The 15,632-nt window shown below is 52.2% G+C and overlaps 1 protein-coding gene across 23 annotated transcripts in view; it reads left to right on the top strand.

Moving 5' to 3' along the window:
- Window positions 1–15,010, top strand: part of BRD9 (bromodomain containing 9) — a 29,061-nt gene extending 14,051 nt beyond the window's left edge. For 13 of the 23 annotated variants that reach the window (NM_001375879.1, NM_023924.5, NM_001375877.1 and 10 more), the window contains 6 exons: window positions 264–396; window positions 2,539–2,650; window positions 7,187–7,225; window positions 8,176–8,278; window positions 13,170–13,337; window positions 14,183–15,010. In NM_001375879.1, the coding sequence (NP_001362808.1) occupies window positions 264–396; window positions 2,539–2,650; window positions 7,187–7,225; window positions 8,176–8,278; window positions 13,170–13,337; window positions 14,183–14,283 (656 nt within the window). In that variant the 3' untranslated portion in view covers window positions 14,284–15,010. Of the gene's footprint in view, window positions 1–263; window positions 397–2,538; window positions 2,651–2,809; window positions 6,502–7,186; window positions 7,226–8,175; window positions 8,279–9,346; window positions 9,507–9,946; window positions 10,142–13,169; window positions 13,338–14,182 lie in introns of those variants that run through there. The other 10 variants (XM_047417604.1, XM_047417603.1, XM_024446196.2 and 7 more) reach the window with 7 other exon arrangements.
- Window positions 15,011–15,632: the final 622 nt, after the last annotated feature.

Raw genomic sequence — 15,632 nt, 5'->3', positions numbered from 1 at the left:
TGCTTGTGGAGCTCACCCCTTTGCAGAGAGCTCATTTCCCTGCGGTCTTTGGCCTGCAGAAGTAAAATGAGGGGTGGTGAATTACACCCCTGCTGGTTACACATGGAAAACTCAGGAGTGAGAATTTTGTGGAGAGCAAGAGAGGTGAGACTGGGGTGCTGGCTGCCAGCCAGGCGGTCCCTCAGCCCCTGGAGAAGCGGGGTGGGGCCTGCACACCGAGTCCTTCCAGTGAGTCCAGTGATGCTCTCTCCTCTTCCTCCCAGTCACCTTTCTCTCCAGTGCCACTACTGCGCTTTCGATGCAGAATAATTCAGTATTTGGCGACTTGAAGTCGGACGAGATGGAGCTGCTCTACTCAGCCTACGGAGATGAGACAGGCGTGCAGTGTGCGCTGAGGCAAGTGTCGGCCCCGGGGAGCCCTTGGCTGCTGTGCAGCTTGAGCTGTGCCCTGGTGTGGGACGTGGAGTCCCACATGTGTGCGGGTGGGGAGAGAGCCATCTTGCAGCCGTCCATATGGCAGCCTGGGTCTTCCCGTTGCTTTCAGTCATCCACACAGGTCTGCCACAGGCCAGTCCTGAAATCTGGGTAACTCAGTCAGAAGGTGGTGATCAGGGCGTAGCTTGTGAAGGGGTTGGGGGTGTGTTGAGCACACTGGATCGTATTGAATTGTGTTTCCTAAGTGACCGTGCTAGCTCAGGCTGCAGTGACAAAGCACCACAGACTGGGGTCTTATTCCTGGGGGCTGGCATTTGCCATGAAGGTGTGGGCAGGGCTGGTTCCTCCCGAGCCCTCTCTCCTGGGCCTGCAGGTGCCGTCTTTCCGTCTTTTCCCTGTGCCTTCCCGGGGCCATCCTGCGTGTGTCTGTGTCCTCGGCTCTCCTGGAGACCCTACCGTTCTCAAGGACCCTGGTCATATTGGATCAGGGCCACCCTAATGGCCTCATGTCACTGCAGTTACCTCTAAAGGCCGTTAAAGTCCCCAGCTCCAAGTATAATCACATTCCAAGGCACTGGGGTCGGGATTTCAACTTACGAACTCTGAGCGGGAGATACAATTCAGGCCATGGCAGGCTAAAGTATAATACTAAAATCACAAATGTAGCAGCCTGCTTTTCCGTAGAATGTTGCTGTGTGTATTTTTTGTTTTCTGTGGCAAAATAAAAGTGGGTCACTCTTGTAAAATTTGGCAGTTTTTAATGGAGAAAGCAACTTAATTTTGCTAGCCTTTAAGAAATGGCATCTTGACATATCAGGTCTTCATTTTATTCCAACAAGAATGCAGAATATGTTTTAAAAATAAACAAGAATCCCCTTAGTGCTTCATAAAATAAGTGAAAACCTGACCCTGATTTTTGTAGCAAAAAATGAAGTAAACGTGGAAAATGAAGAGGAAATTCTAGTAGGAGACGATGGGGTCATAAGTCAGAAATTAAAGAGTTGTTTGCTCCCCACCCTCCCGCCAGCCCTCACCTCACCCCTGCTGTGGGGCCTCTGCCCAGCCTGGGCCAAGGCCGTGGCTCCCCTGGTGCCATCCTGTCCGCAGTCGGCTCCCTGTCCACGGCGTGTGGCTCCTTCAGGACATCAGTCACCTGTTGTCCATGTGGCACATCAGTGGACTGTGCACACCCCCCGCCTTCCCCAGCTGTCTGTCCCTAGAACGCATCAGGTTCCATGTTGCCGTGAAGAAAGATCATTCTGACCCCGCCTGCCTTGTGGCTGCAGGGGCAACACTCAGAAGCACATCTCCTAGGGCCTGGCATGAGGCTACGTGGTCCCATGCCAGCCTCAGCGCACAGACACCCAGATCCTCTGCCCCTGAGTGCTGCTTCCGTGCACGCTGCGAGTGCCGAGCTTGGCCTGTCCCGGGCTGTGGGTGTTTTAACAAAGACACGGAGTCTCCCTGTTGCCTCCTGTGACCGTGGTTCAGCTTCTGACCAGCAGCCATCCTTGTTCCTCTCTGTGAAGGTCTTTGGAGTCTGGGGAGCCCTTCTGAGGCGCTTGCTTGGTGCTTTGATTCTAAGACTATGCATTTTTGTTCCTGGCCTACTTTTTAGATTGTATTATATTTTATTTTTTAAGCTGTTTCATGTATATGGCCAAGAATCAGGATGGTACTAAAAGGAGTGCCTTGGAAGTGTCGGCCCACCCCTGCCCCACGCGCCCATTCCTCACCGGCAGGCACTGCCCACTGGTGTGCTTCTGTCCACACCCACTTGTGTTTTTAAACGCATAACGAGTGGAAAGATAGGAGTATTCTTTTACAGATGATAACATAGCACACGTGTGTTTCTAGGCTGTGTGCATGTGTATTCATGCTTTTCTCCCTCTCCCCACTGAGATCTTTTTAACCTTTTTGGGTCATGGACCACTTTGAAAATCTAATGAAAACTATCAGCCACTCCCCACAAAATACCCGCTCTGGGAGGGTCACGGGGACCGAGGAGCTGCGCTGGCACGGCAGGCTTCTGTGATCAGGGCTGCCGCGAGGGCCAGGCGACAAGGGCTCCTTTCAGCGTACCTTCTCCCGCGGCCCCTCTAGCCTGCAGGAGTTTGTGAAGGATGCTGGGAGCTACAGCAAGAAAGTGGTGGACGACCTCCTGGACCAGATCACAGGCGGAGACCACTCTAGGACGCTCTTCCAGCTGAAGCAGGTGGGCTGCACTCGCACCGGGGTTGGGGGGCAGGTGCCCTTGGGGTGCTGCTGGCGGGAAGAGCCTGCAGCCTGACCAGGCTTTCGGGGACGAGGAGCTGTCGCAGGGACTCTGCTGCCGGCTCCTCGTCAGGATCTGCGTGCTTCTCTGCACGGGCAGGTGTCCCCCGGAGACCGTGACTGTGTGCTCACCACTCCCAGCGCACTCGTAACTCTCTATTTCCATCTTCATCTTTCATCTCTGTCACTTTCCTTCATCCTGAAGAGTTTAAAAAAATATTTCCTGTAGTTCAGATTTACTGACAGTGATCTCTCAGCATTGGCTTCTCTGAAAGTCTTTATTTCATCTTCATTTTTGAAATTCATTTTCCCTGTGTATGGAATTTTAGATGACCTTTTTTCCCATCTACTGTAAAATAGGTTTGACTTGCATTGTTGCTATAAAAAAGCATCTGGGCCAAGCATGGTGGCTCACACTTGTAATCCCAGCACTTTGGGAGGCCGAGGCGGGCAGATCCAAGGTCAGGAGGTCGAGACCATCCTGGCTAACACGGTGAAACCCCGTCTCTACTAAAAAATAGAAAAAATTAGCTGGGCGTGGTGGCAGGTGCTTGTAGTCCCAGCTACTCGGGAGGCTGAGGCAGGAGAATGGCATGAACCCGGGAGGCAGAGCTTGCAGTGAGCCGAGATCATGCCACTGCACTCCAGCTTGGGCCACAGAGCCAGACCCCATCTCCAAAAAAAAAAAAAAAGCGTCTGAAGTCATTGTCATCTTTGTTTCCCACATGTGACGTGTCTTTTCGGCCAGATCTGACCTGAAGTCTGCTTTTGTACAGACCACAAGCCAGGAATGTCTTTTACATCTTTAAAAGGGTGTTTACAGAAAAGAAAAGGAAGAAGAAGATGCTTCGGGCAGCGTGTGGCTCACAGAGCCTCGGCTGCTCACTCCCGGGCCCTCGGCAGGACGGGATCTGGCCGGTGCTCTAGGAGCTTTTGAACTTTTATCTTTCTTTATCAGTGATTTTCAGCATTGTATTTTCCAGGTGCCTTGGTGGGCTTTTCTTTGTGTTCTACTTAGCATTTGTTGTTTCTTGGATCTGTCTGTAGTTTTCATCATATTTGGAAGATTTTTAGCCATTACTCAAATGTCATTTTCCACCACTGCCTCTTCCTCCTCCTGCTGGACTGTGGCACTCTGAGGACAGCTCGTGTTATCTCACATGGCACCGACACTGTGCTGCCGCACCAGGCTGCTGCAGATTAGTTTCTGATGCTGTTGGCTAAGTTCACTCACCTGTTCTCTGGCCACACCTGAACCTGTTATCCCAGATCAGTTTTCACTGATGATGTCGTCCCGCGCTGCTCATCACTTGGGCTCCATTTGCTGCTTTTGTGTATCTTCTCTCATGTTGTGTGTATGTTTTTCCTTACATCCTTGAGCCACGTTCGTATTTATTGCTGCTGCTTTTGAAGTCCTCAGTCACTGAGTCTGTCGCCTCTGCCGTTTCCGGTTCTGTTTCTGTTTGACACTTTGCTGCACTTGGAGCTGTGGGCCATTGTGCACGTGCCTGGTGGACAGTCCTGACCCTCGCTGTCTGATAAAAAAGCACTGGCCACATGGCCGCTGGGAAATTTGAATGTGGCCAGTCTGAATTTAGATGTGATGTGTGAGCTACAAACTAGATCTTAAAAAACTAATGCAAAAAACGTAAAAATATGAGTAACGATTTCTTATGGCCCACATGTTGGAATAAAAACATCTTCAATAAATTTGTCTAAGTAAAATGCATTAGTTAATTGAATGTTAAGAGTAATTTTAATGTGGCAGCTAGAATTTTAAGAGCTGGGTATGGTGGCATGCACCTGTCATCAGCTCCACAGGAGGCTAAGGTGGGAGGATCACTTGAGGCCGGGAGGTCGAGGCTGCAGTGCGATTGCACCACCGCACTCTAGGCAATAGAGCAAGACCCTGTCTCAAAAAAAAGATAAAAAAACATTTAGAACGAGGCGTGTGCTCGCGTTATGTCTGCTGGGCAAGGCTGATCTGGGTTCTTTCTCTCTTTCAGAGAATACTGATGATCATTTTGGCAGTTGTTACTTGTGGATAATGGCCGGATCCTACCAGGCTTGTCTGGGGTGGGTCCAGGGCAGCCTTATTCTAGGGTTCGTGTAGCCTTAATGCTAAGGAGTGGCCCTTCGGGGAGCCCTGTCTTTTCAGCGTGGTCTCTGCTGTGGGTGGAGTTCGGATGAGTCTCTGTCCTTCCCAGGCTCTGAGAACGTTTGGCTCATGGCTCCCAAGGAGGGGTCAGTCCCTTGACCTGACGGTTTCATCTGTGCTTGTTACAGATGAACTGGGGTCCACATGCCTGGTGCAGTAAACCCAGACACCCATGCCGAGGTTTTGTCATAGAAAGGACGTGTGTATTTGCAGGGCGCCAAGCAAGGTGGGCCAGGAGGCTCATGTATAAATCCTGGCCTCCCCCACTGGCTACAGGCAAGGCTTGTAAAGCGGGGGTAGATCTCAGGAAAGCAGAACTGAAAGGCAGAGTCGTGCATAAGGACACAGAGGTTACATGTCGGCTTGGCCTAGAAGGGCGGTATCTGCAAGCAGGGCCTTATAGGTTATAGGTGGATTCAAAGGTTTTCTGATTTGCAGCTGGTTAAGGAGGAGAAGCTTTGTTTAAAAATTTGGGGTGAAGAGAAAAGAATGTTAGCTTAGGCTTGTGGGTGTGGCTTCCTCCAGGCCCGTCAGGAAGAAATTCAGAACAAAGAACGGGGTCAGAGCTCAGTCTTCAGTTTCTCCTTATCTGAGCCCTTCATGCCAGTAGATTAGTTTGTTGGGGAGGTCCTAGGTGGAGGGTCCAGGTTTCTGAAAGACAACTCAGGGATATACATTAAGATGTTATCTTTACTTTCTTTCTTTTTTTTTCTTTTTGAGACATAGAGTCTCACTCTGTCACCCAGGCTGGAGTGCAGTGGCGTGATTGTGGCTCACTGCAACCTCTGCCTCCCTGATTCTAGCGATTCTCCTGCCTCAGCCTCCCGAGTAGCTGGGATTACAGGCATGCGCCACCACACCTGGCTAATTTTTGTATTTTTAGTAGAGGCGGAGTTTCGCCATGTTGGCCAGGCTGGTCTTTAACTCCTGACCTCAAATGATGCATCCATCTCAGCCTCCCAGAGTGGTAGGATGTTGTCTTTTCTTTCTACAGGGAACAGTGCTGGGAGGTTGTCTTTACTTTCTACAGGGAACAAACATCTGTCTCCACCTTCCTTGACTGTTGTTTTAGGATACTGTTACCTTCTTGCTTATCAAGTCGCTGATTTACTTCTCAGAGTTATCTAAGTAACTGGAATTTCCCTTGAAGGAACTCAAGATTTTCCTTGATTTCCATGCTTGGAGGGCTCGCAGGCCCCTGAAGAGAGGGTTGCAGCCAGGCGGGAGTCCCCAAGCAGATTTCTGCAGCTCTGAGGAGCAGCCCCCTCTGCAGAGCCTGCCCCACCAGCTCGTGGTTCTGACTCTGAGCTCTGGTCACCCTCCCGTGTCGTGGCCTGCAGGCTCCTTCCAGGCAGGAAGCTGGCCCCCCCAACACAGCGTTAGAATCAGGCATTGCTGTGGGGTAGGGAAAGTGACCCCCTCACAGCCCGGAAATGGGAAGGCTCTGTGGTTTCCTCTCTGGGTTCCAGTTAGATTCCTTTCGGGAAAGTGAACTTGGATATGGAGTTGAGTGACCCCGAGTGCACCCCCGCAGTAAATGATGCTCAGGACTAAAGTGACTGAAGGCTTTTGGGGAAACAGATGCGAACAAAACAGCAGTATTCATTTTCTAATTAAAAGCTTGTGAAAATCGATGTCATTGAATCTGAGAAACATTATTTCGAACAAAGATCACACATGATAGAGTGCATATACTACAGCATCGCTCCACCGGAGCACAGGACGGGTGTGCCACGGAGGCCGACAGTTGTGGAAGGAGACAATGCACGGCCCGGCCCACCTGCTGCAGGCACCGCCAGGAGGTGTCTGCCTCCTTCGCTCCTGCGCCCACGGCAGGCCCACCTGCCACAGGCACTGCCAGGAGGTGTCTGCCTCCTTTGCTCCTGCACACACCTGCCCCTGCAGGACTCGAGCTGGTCTCAGGCAACTGGTCATATTCCAGGTGGAACCCACGAGACCCTTCTTATCCTAAGCTTCCCATAGGATCTAGGCACATCTTTTTTCTTTTGTTTTAAGCCACCCAAGGCTGCCGAAACAGCATCGGCGTCCTCTCTCTGTCCGCTCCATCTCGCCCTGTGGAGCGCTGTCCCCGGCACACAATCCTGGCGCTGAGGAGGGGGCTGGGCGTGGTTGGGTCAGTGACTGGTGATGAAGAAGGTTTGGAGGACCCCCAGCCTTAATCCATTAAGATGGTGTGACTGGGGAGCAGAATTCGCAGAAGCGCACAAGCCATTTTTACGTGTGTGTAATGTCAGCGAATTGTCCGTTTCTATGAAATCACTCTGGAAAAACTAGTTTCTGTCCTCATTTACTTTTCAGAGAAGAAATGTTCCCATGAAGCCTCCAGATGAAGCCAAGGTAAGTTTTTGAACATGGAAGGGCAAGCCAAATATTATTCTCACAGGGAAAGTTGTATCCAGCCTTTGAGGTGGGGAGGTCTGTGTGTATGACGGCGTTTAGAAATGGAGTCCGTTTCTGATCAGTAAGATCAATAGTGTTTCTCCTCCTCTTTTCATGACTTGAGGTGAGTGGTGTGAAGCCGCAGTACATTCTTCCAAATCCAGAAATGGGTAGTTTCAGAGCAGTTGGCCCCGCTGGGTGCTGTCCTTGTGGGACACCCTTGCAAGGGTTGGGCAGGATGGGCCTTCTCAGGACCTGCTTGGTGAGTAGCAGGTGTTGTCCCAAGCACAGTGGGCTCTGGGGCCAGTGCTGGCAGGGCAGTGCTGTGAGCCCAGACTGCTGCACCTGCCGATTGGCAGGTGTGTGTCTCTGACAGTCAGCAGGCATGGGCTTGGGCTTTGGTCCAGGGTCCCTGGGAACCTGGAGAGACCCCTTAACATCTGTTTGAGGGCAGAGGCCGAGCTGCAGGGAGCTGATGAGAGAGTATGTGTTAGGGTGGCTGTAGTCTAGCCCTGAGGACACGCCTTGCTGGGAAAGGAAAGGGAACGTTGTGTGCTCTGTGAAGTGCCTGAGAAATAGTCCTGGACCCTAAAATTCTGTGTGTCTTCCTGTTGCATAATGTCCCTCCCCAATTTCTTTAGCCCCAAAAAGTTAACAAAGGATTGTTAGTTTGCGTTGTTGGTCTCAGTAGGTTTTTCTTTGACATGGATTTGCATATCCATTCATGAGCTCCAACCTGACAGTCCCTTGAACAGCAGCCTCAGTGAACAGGGCTTGGTCTTGTCACTTACTGAGGGGTGGGTTCACGTTTAGCAAATAATTAGAGTGATTTCAATAGCGAGTGTGAAGTAACATTTCGTTTTTCGTTTGATGTTTGAATTGCTCTTGATGTGTGTCTGTCTCCACAGGTTGGGGACACCCTAGGAGACAGCAGCAGCTCTGTTCTGGAGTTCATGTCGATGAAGTCCTATCCCGACGTTTCTGTGGATATCTCCATGCTCAGCTCTCTGGGTGAGTTGTAACAGGCACTTTCCCACAGCACCTGGTGAAGGTGTGATAGAGGAAGAAAACACACGGCCTCCACCTCCTCTCCCTTCCTGACTAGACAGGGATGCCAGGAAAATCTTTTGTTACGGTATTTGGTCTTTGTCCCAGGTTTTTGGACCATAGCTCCTAAAATCCTTGGAATCTCCTGAGTGTTGTGTCTTTTTTAAGCTAATGAGAAGTGGTTGCAGCCCCTGGGTAACCTCAGGATGGGGTCTGGCCGATCCCCAGTGGCTGTGGATTTCATCAGTGTTGCCTACCGCCTCCATGAAATCCCAAAAGGTGGGGTTCCCTAGGGAGCCTCATTGCTGGACGCCTGGAGGCTCTGGGAAGAAGGCAGCCCCTTCCCACGGGTCCCCTCTGCATCGCTCCCACCTGGGGCCCATCCGTACCCTGGGTGACACCCCGCAGAATAAATGGGTAAATGTCAGCCTAGTGTGTGGACAGAAGAGTCAAACTCTGCAGGGTATTTAGAGAGGTTTCTTCTGAGTGAAATACGAAGACCGTGGCTGTGACACAGTCCCAGGAGGTCCCAAGAACATTTGCCGAGGAGGACTGGTCTGCAGCTTGTTTTGATATGTTTTAGGGAGACAGAGGACATCAGTCAGTACATGTCAGTTGTAACAGTGGTTCGTGTTGGAAAGGCGGGACAACTTGAAGCGAGGAATGTCGGGTCGTTGGTGGATTCAGAGATTTCCTGATTGGCATTTGGTTGAAAGGGTTAAGCTCTGAAGAGCTGAAGTCAGAAAGAAATGTGCATGGTTAACATAAGCAGTTGTAGAAGCCAAGGTTCTTGTCACATAGATGAATTCAGCCTTCAGGTAGCAGGCTTCAAAAAGAGTAGAGTAGATGGCAAACATCACTCATGAGGCCCTCAAAGGTACCAGATTGTTAGTTAAATCTCTGTTGGGTCAGGAAGAGACTTGGAAGGGGCAGGAGATTCTCTACAGAATGTAGATTTTTCCCACAAGATACAGCTTTGCAGGGCTATTTCAAAATATGTCAAAGGGATATATTTTGAGATAAAATACTCAGTTTCTTTCAGGGCCTGCCATCTATCACGTGATGCTGTACTAAAGTCGGATCGGAATTTGGTGTCTTATTACCACGGAGTCTGCTTTGTCAACCTTCAGATTTCTGTTTTAAAGTTAATGCTGGTCAGCTGTGCCTGAATTCCAAAAGAGGGGATAATGAGGCAAGTCCAGTCCCGCTTCACATCATGGCCTGACCTCATTTTCCAGGTTGACTTTGGAGTGCCCTTGGCCAAGAGTGGGAATCCGTTCAGTCCATGGGGCTTAGAATTTTATTTTTCATTTACAGATGTTTCCCTGACTTCTGTGAGTCACTCTAGGAAATTCATAGAGCTCAAGTCTGGTCTTCTGGGAACCCCATTTGATAGCTGGTTAGTCGGAAGCACAGACCACAGCCTGGGGCTTTCAGTTGGCATCAGCCGGTGGGGCCATCCTGGAGACTGTGCCCTCACCTGGGAGGCTGCCGGTGCAGCGCCCCCGAGCTGTTCTGACCTCCAGCAGCATTTGTGGTGCCTGGATCCATGGGTCCCACTGCTTTGCGTGGTGACGTTCCACCTGTCTCTGCTGGCTCTGTTCAGGCACTTATGGCCGTGATTTATTATAGGGGAAGGGTGCCAACAGCAGCAGAGGGACAAGAGTGACATCCAAGGAAACCCAGCGTGAGGCCCAGATCCACTCCCAGCAGAGGCACATGGGACACGCTTAATTCCCAGGAGTGAGCTGTGACAACACACGTGAAATGCCCACCAGGGAAGCCCGTCAGAGGCTTGGTGCTCGGGGTCACAGGGCACCCCCTTGCCAGGCAGGTACCAAAGTCCAGACCCCGGAGGGAAGGTGAACTTTAGCATAAACCACTCTGCTCCTGTTGTTGGAGCTGTGAACAATCCCTAGCACTGGGGGGGACCCCAGATGCCAGCCGTGGCTGGCCTTGCCTTCCAGGGGACCCTGGCCCCAGGCCGCTGTGACAGCACTTTTCTGCACAGCAGCTGTTTTTCTCAGCACTTCTAAGATTTTGTCCTTATTACTACTTCTCAGCAGCTTGGTGCTGATGGGCTTTGGTGCTGATGTGCTGTGGTGTGTTAGTCTGTCCTCACACTGTTATAAAGAACCACCTGAGACTGGTCATTGGTGAAGGAAAGAGGTTTAATTGACTCACAGTTCCTCAGGCTGTTTGGGAGGCATGGCTGGGAGGCATCAGGAAACTTCCAATCATGGCGGAAGATGAAGGAGAAACATGCATGTCTTCACATGGCGGAGCAGGAGAGAACGCAAAGGGGGAAGTGCTTTGAAACAACCAGATCTCATGAGAAGTCACTCACTATCATGAGAACAGAGAACAGCAAGGGGGAAATCCATCCCCATGATCCAATCACCTTCCACCAGGACCCTCCCCTAACATTGGGAATTACAATTCAACATGAGATTTGGGCAGGAATACAGAGCCAAACTGTATCATTCTGCCCCTGACTCCTCTCGAATCTTTTGTCCTTTTCACATTTCAAAACACAATCATGCCTTCCTAACAGTCCCCTAAAGTCTTAACTCATTCCAGCATTAACTCAGAAGTCCACAGTCCAAAGTCTTATCTGAGACAAGGCAAGTTACTTCTGCCTGTGAGCCTGTAAAATCCAAAACAAGTTAGTTAATTCCAAGATACAAATCGGGTACAGACATTGGGTAAATAGACCTATCCCAAGAGGGAGAAATCAGCCAAAACAAAGGGGCAGCAGGCTACAAATCTGAAACCCAGCAGGGCAGTCATTACATCTTGAGGCCCCGAAAGAATCTTCTTTGATTCCTTGTCTCACATCCAGGCTACACTGATGCAAGGGATGGGCTCCCACGGCCTTGGGCAGCCCCGCCCTTGTGGCTCTGCAGGGTACAGCCTCTGTGGCTGCTTTCCCTGGCTGGTGTTGAGTGCCTGCAGCTTTTCCAGATGGCATGGTGCAAGCTGTCGGATCTACCATTCTGAGGTCTGGAGGACGGTGGCCCTTTTCTCACAGCTCCACTAGGCAGTGCCCCAGTGGGTACTCTGTGTGGGGTGAGGGCTCCAACCTCACATTTCCCCTCTGCACTGCCCTAGCAGAGGTTCTCCATGAAGGGCCTGCCCCTGCAGCAGACTTCTGCCTGGACACCCTGGCTTTTCCATACATCCTCTGAAATCTAGGTGGAGGCTGCCAAACCTCAGCTCTTGCCTTCTGCCTACCCACATACCCAACACCATGTGGAAGCTTCCAGGGCTTGGGGCTTGCACCCTCTGAAGCATCGACCCTTTTAGCCCTGTACCTTGGCCCCTTTTAGCCATGGCTGGGACACAGAGCACCATGGCACATGTCCCAGTGCTTCACAGAGTAGTGGGGCCCTTTTCCCTCCTAGACCCCCAGGCCTGTGATGGCAGTGTCTGGGCAAAGGTCTTTGAAATGTCCCTGAGGTATTAACATTTGGCTCCTCTTTACTTACGCAAATGTCTGCAGCCTTCTTGAATTCCTCCCCAGAAAATGGGTTTTTCTTTTCTACCACATGGCAGGGGTACAAATTTTCCAAACTTTTACTCTCTGCTTCCCTTTTAAATATAAGTTCCAGTTTCAGGTCATTTTTCTGTTTGTGCAAGTGAGCATAGGCTTTTAGAAGCAGCCAAGTCACCTCTTGAATGCTTTAGTGCTTAGAAATTTCTTCCACCAGGTGCCCTAAATCATCTCTCTCAAGTTCAAAGTTCCACAGATTTCTAGAGCAGGGTCACAGTGCTGTCAGTCTCTCCTAAAGAATAGCAAGAGTGACCTTTGCCCCCATTCCCAATGGGGTCCTCGTCTCCATCTGAGACCACCTCAGCCTGGATTTCACTGTCCATATCACTATCAGCATTTGAATCATAGCCATGCAGGAAGTCTCTAGGTAGTTCCAAACTTTCCCTCATCTTCCTGTCTTTAAGTTCTCCCAGCTGTTCTAGCCTCTGCTCATTACCCAGTTCTACAGGGCATGTCTGTAGTCACTGTTACTACACTTTGTCTACTGATTCCCTGATATCAGCTTTGAGTCTCTCCTAGTTTGGGGCTGTGTTTTCCTGCTCCTTCGTGTGTGTTGGAATCATTTACTGGATACCAGGTGGAGTTTGTAGTTGATGCCGTTGGGTGATAGGTCTGCTTACACACCTTTGAGGCCTGGCGGCCTTTGTTCTGAGTTTGAGAAGTGGCTTAGACTCTGTGGGACCTTCCCCAGGCATTGTCAGGGTAAGCCCAGAGTCACCCCGGGGAGGGTGAAGCTGGTCCCCTGGCTGGTGGGGCTCAGGTGACCACAGACCTGTGTGCAGGTTCTTGGCATGTCTGGTGCACAGTTCAGGAGTGGGCTGGGAGCTCATCCTTTCCACCTCTCAGCTGGACGTGCTGGGTCCCCGATGGCTGTGGCCTGGAACCTGCTCCACAGTGAACTGGGCGGGTACCAGGGTCTGCCGGCCTCTTGCACCCTCCATCCAGCTGTCTGGCCTTTGTGTGTTGAGGACAGGAGCCCACACCAGGCCCATCCTGGGTTGTGGCCACATCCCTCCACGGTGTCTGTGCGTGCCATGACGTGGTCTGTGCGGTGCTAGGTCTTGTCTGATGCTTTGCTTGAGCAAAGGACGCTGGGTGTCTGCCTTCCCTTCACTCACTGCTAAGGGTAATGTCTGTCCTCCAGGCCTGTCCACCTGTCTGCTGTGAGCTCGTCCACTCAGTTTCCAGAGCAATTATTGTCCTGAGCAGAGAGGCCTGTCTGGATGGGCAGTGTGCTCCTGCCCTTAGGGTAGACGGGCCGGCTGAGCTCAGCCGACGTGGGGTCATGTCCTGTTTACACAGGGAAGGTGAAGAAGGAGCTGGACCCTGACGACAGCCATTTGAACTTGGATGAGACGACGAAGCTCCTGCAGGACCTGCACGAAGCACAGGCGGAGCGCGGCGGCTCTCGGCCGTCGTCCAACCTCAGCTCCCTGTCCAACGCCTCCGAGAGGGACCAGCACCACCTGGGTGAGATGCCCCCACCCACGCCGCATCCCCAGAGACCCCAGCACAGTCAGTGTGACGTCTAGACGAGGTAGTGGGCAGCATTGTAGTTGTGGGAAGGCTGGAGGCTGCATGGGCAGCGGTGCTGTTGTGGAGGTCGGTTTCCACAGATGTCCTTGGGTCGCGGCCTCGGTGCAGAGCCGGAGCGGAGCTGGGATGCTGGCCTGGCCGCACGCTGGGTTACAGGCTTTCTGCCAGATACCGTCCCCAGTTCTGTCCACCCCTGTGCCCTCTGTGGACCCTGGTTCCAGTGTTTCTGCTGGGGAGAGAGCATGGCTTCCTTGGCCATGTGTCCTGGAGTGGTTTTGGTGGGTGGGGTTTTGTTCCCACTTGTAAACACTGGATCACTCTGTCGGCAGAGTGAATCTTGGCAGTTCTTCAGCTGCAGAGGTTTAGCTGCAACCATCTGCAAAAAGGCCGGTATTTTCGATTCCATTGACCTTGTGATCAGGGTGTTAACAGTGCATGGAGCAGGCTTTGGAGGGCCGTAGGTCAAAGTCTGAGGCCCCCGATATCCCAGTATGACTTTGGGAACTGCCCTGAGGTCTGGGCTGTGTCTGAGGGACTCCTGGCCAAGGAGCGTTCTCTCCTTCAGAAGCAGCATCCGTGCTGTGTGCTGGGTCAGGGCGACCCCTGGCTCCAGGGTCTCTACACACAGCTCTCCTTGGCAGGGAGTGAGAGGTGCCCCTGTGTCCTGGGAGTCCCTGAGCCCTGGCGGTAGGTCAGGAAGCAGACCTTGGGCTCCAGGAGCCCCACGTGTGCTGCGGGTCTGTCCTGTGTGTTGAAGTCCTGTGTTCTGAAAATTGCAGGAAGCCCTTCTCGCCTGAGTGTCGGGGAGCAGCCAGACGTCACCCACGACCCCTATGAGTTTCTTCAGTCTCCAGAGCCTGCGGCCTCTGCCAAGACCTAACTCTAGACCACCTTCAGCTCTTTTATTTTATTTTTTTAGTTTTATTTTGCACGTGTAGAGTTTTTGTCATCAGACAAGGACTTTGATCCTGTCCCCTTTGGCATGCGGGAAGCAGCCGCGGGGAGGTAATGAATTGTCTGTGGTATCATGTCAGCAGAGTCTCCAAGCCCCACGAACCCTGAGGAGTGGAGTCATACGCGAAGGCCATATGGCCATCGTGTCAGCAGAGAGAGTCTCTGTACACAGCCCCGTGAACCCTGAGGAGTGGAGTCATACACGAAGGGCGTGTGGCCATCGTGTCAGCAGAGAGAGTCTCTGTACACAGCCCCGTGAACCCTGAGGAGTGGAGTCATACGCGAAGGGTGTGTGGCCAGGCTGCAGAGCTGCGTGCCGTTTGTGTCCGAGCATCACGTGTGGCTCCAGCCCTTGTTTCTGCCAGTGTAGACACCTCTGTCTGCCCCACTGTCCTGGGGTCGCTCTTGGGAGGCACAGGCATGGGTGTGTCTGGCCTCATTCTGTATCAGTCCAGTGTGTTCCTGTCATAGTTTGTGTCTCCCAGGCAGGCCATGGTAGGGGCCTCGCAGGGGCCATTGGGGAGCACAGGGCCAGGCTGGGGTGAGGAGAGCTCCCCTGTTTTCTGTTTAATTGATGAGCCTGGGAAAGGAGTGTGTTCTGCCTGCCCGTTACAGTGGAGCGTTCCGTGTCCATAAAACGTTTTCTAACTGGGTGTTTACTGAGTGCCCATTTATGTTAGTATTTGCAAAATACCATAAACACAGCTTCCAGTCACAAGACACAGAGCGCCAAAGTGCACCCAACTGCTCCCAGCACGCGAGGGTGCTGTGTCCTACCAGCTGGTGGTGGTCCTCTGGCCCAGCTGTCGTGCCCACAGTGACATCAGGTGCACCTGTGCGCCCACCAGCACCTCCTGCAGGGTGCCCTGCTCTGTGACCATGGAAACTTGAAAGTGAAGAAGCCACACCTTCCAGAGGCCAGGCATGGATGGGAGCTCAGTCGTCCTGGGGGCAGCGGCATTTGTGACTCTGAAGAGGCCCCGGGGGCAGTATGCAGTGCCTGGGCCCTCACACCACGGGACCACAGGGCTGACCCTCGCAGGCCATTGACGCTGGGTGAGCAGGGTGGCCGGTGCTCTGTGTGGCATGGGTGAGCATTCTCAGGTCCTTCCTGGGCCCTGGTGGAAGTGGGAGCAAAGCCATTGCCTCTGGACAGAGCATGAAGAAGCCACAGTAGCTGACTCACAGGAAGAGTTTGTGAACAGGGCTCAGACGAGGGGCAGAGCCTGGGCTGCACCCTCCGTGCTGGCTGGGAAGCAGACTCCACGCTTGTCT

This window comes from Homo sapiens, chromosome 5 (genome assembly GCF_000001405.40).
Source record: "Homo sapiens chromosome 5, GRCh38.p14 Primary Assembly".
NCBI lineage: Eukaryota > Metazoa > Chordata > Mammalia > Primates > Hominidae > Homo > Homo sapiens.
The sequence above is the reverse complement of the archived record's forward strand: the minus strand, read 5'-3'. Positions and strand labels throughout refer to the sequence as shown.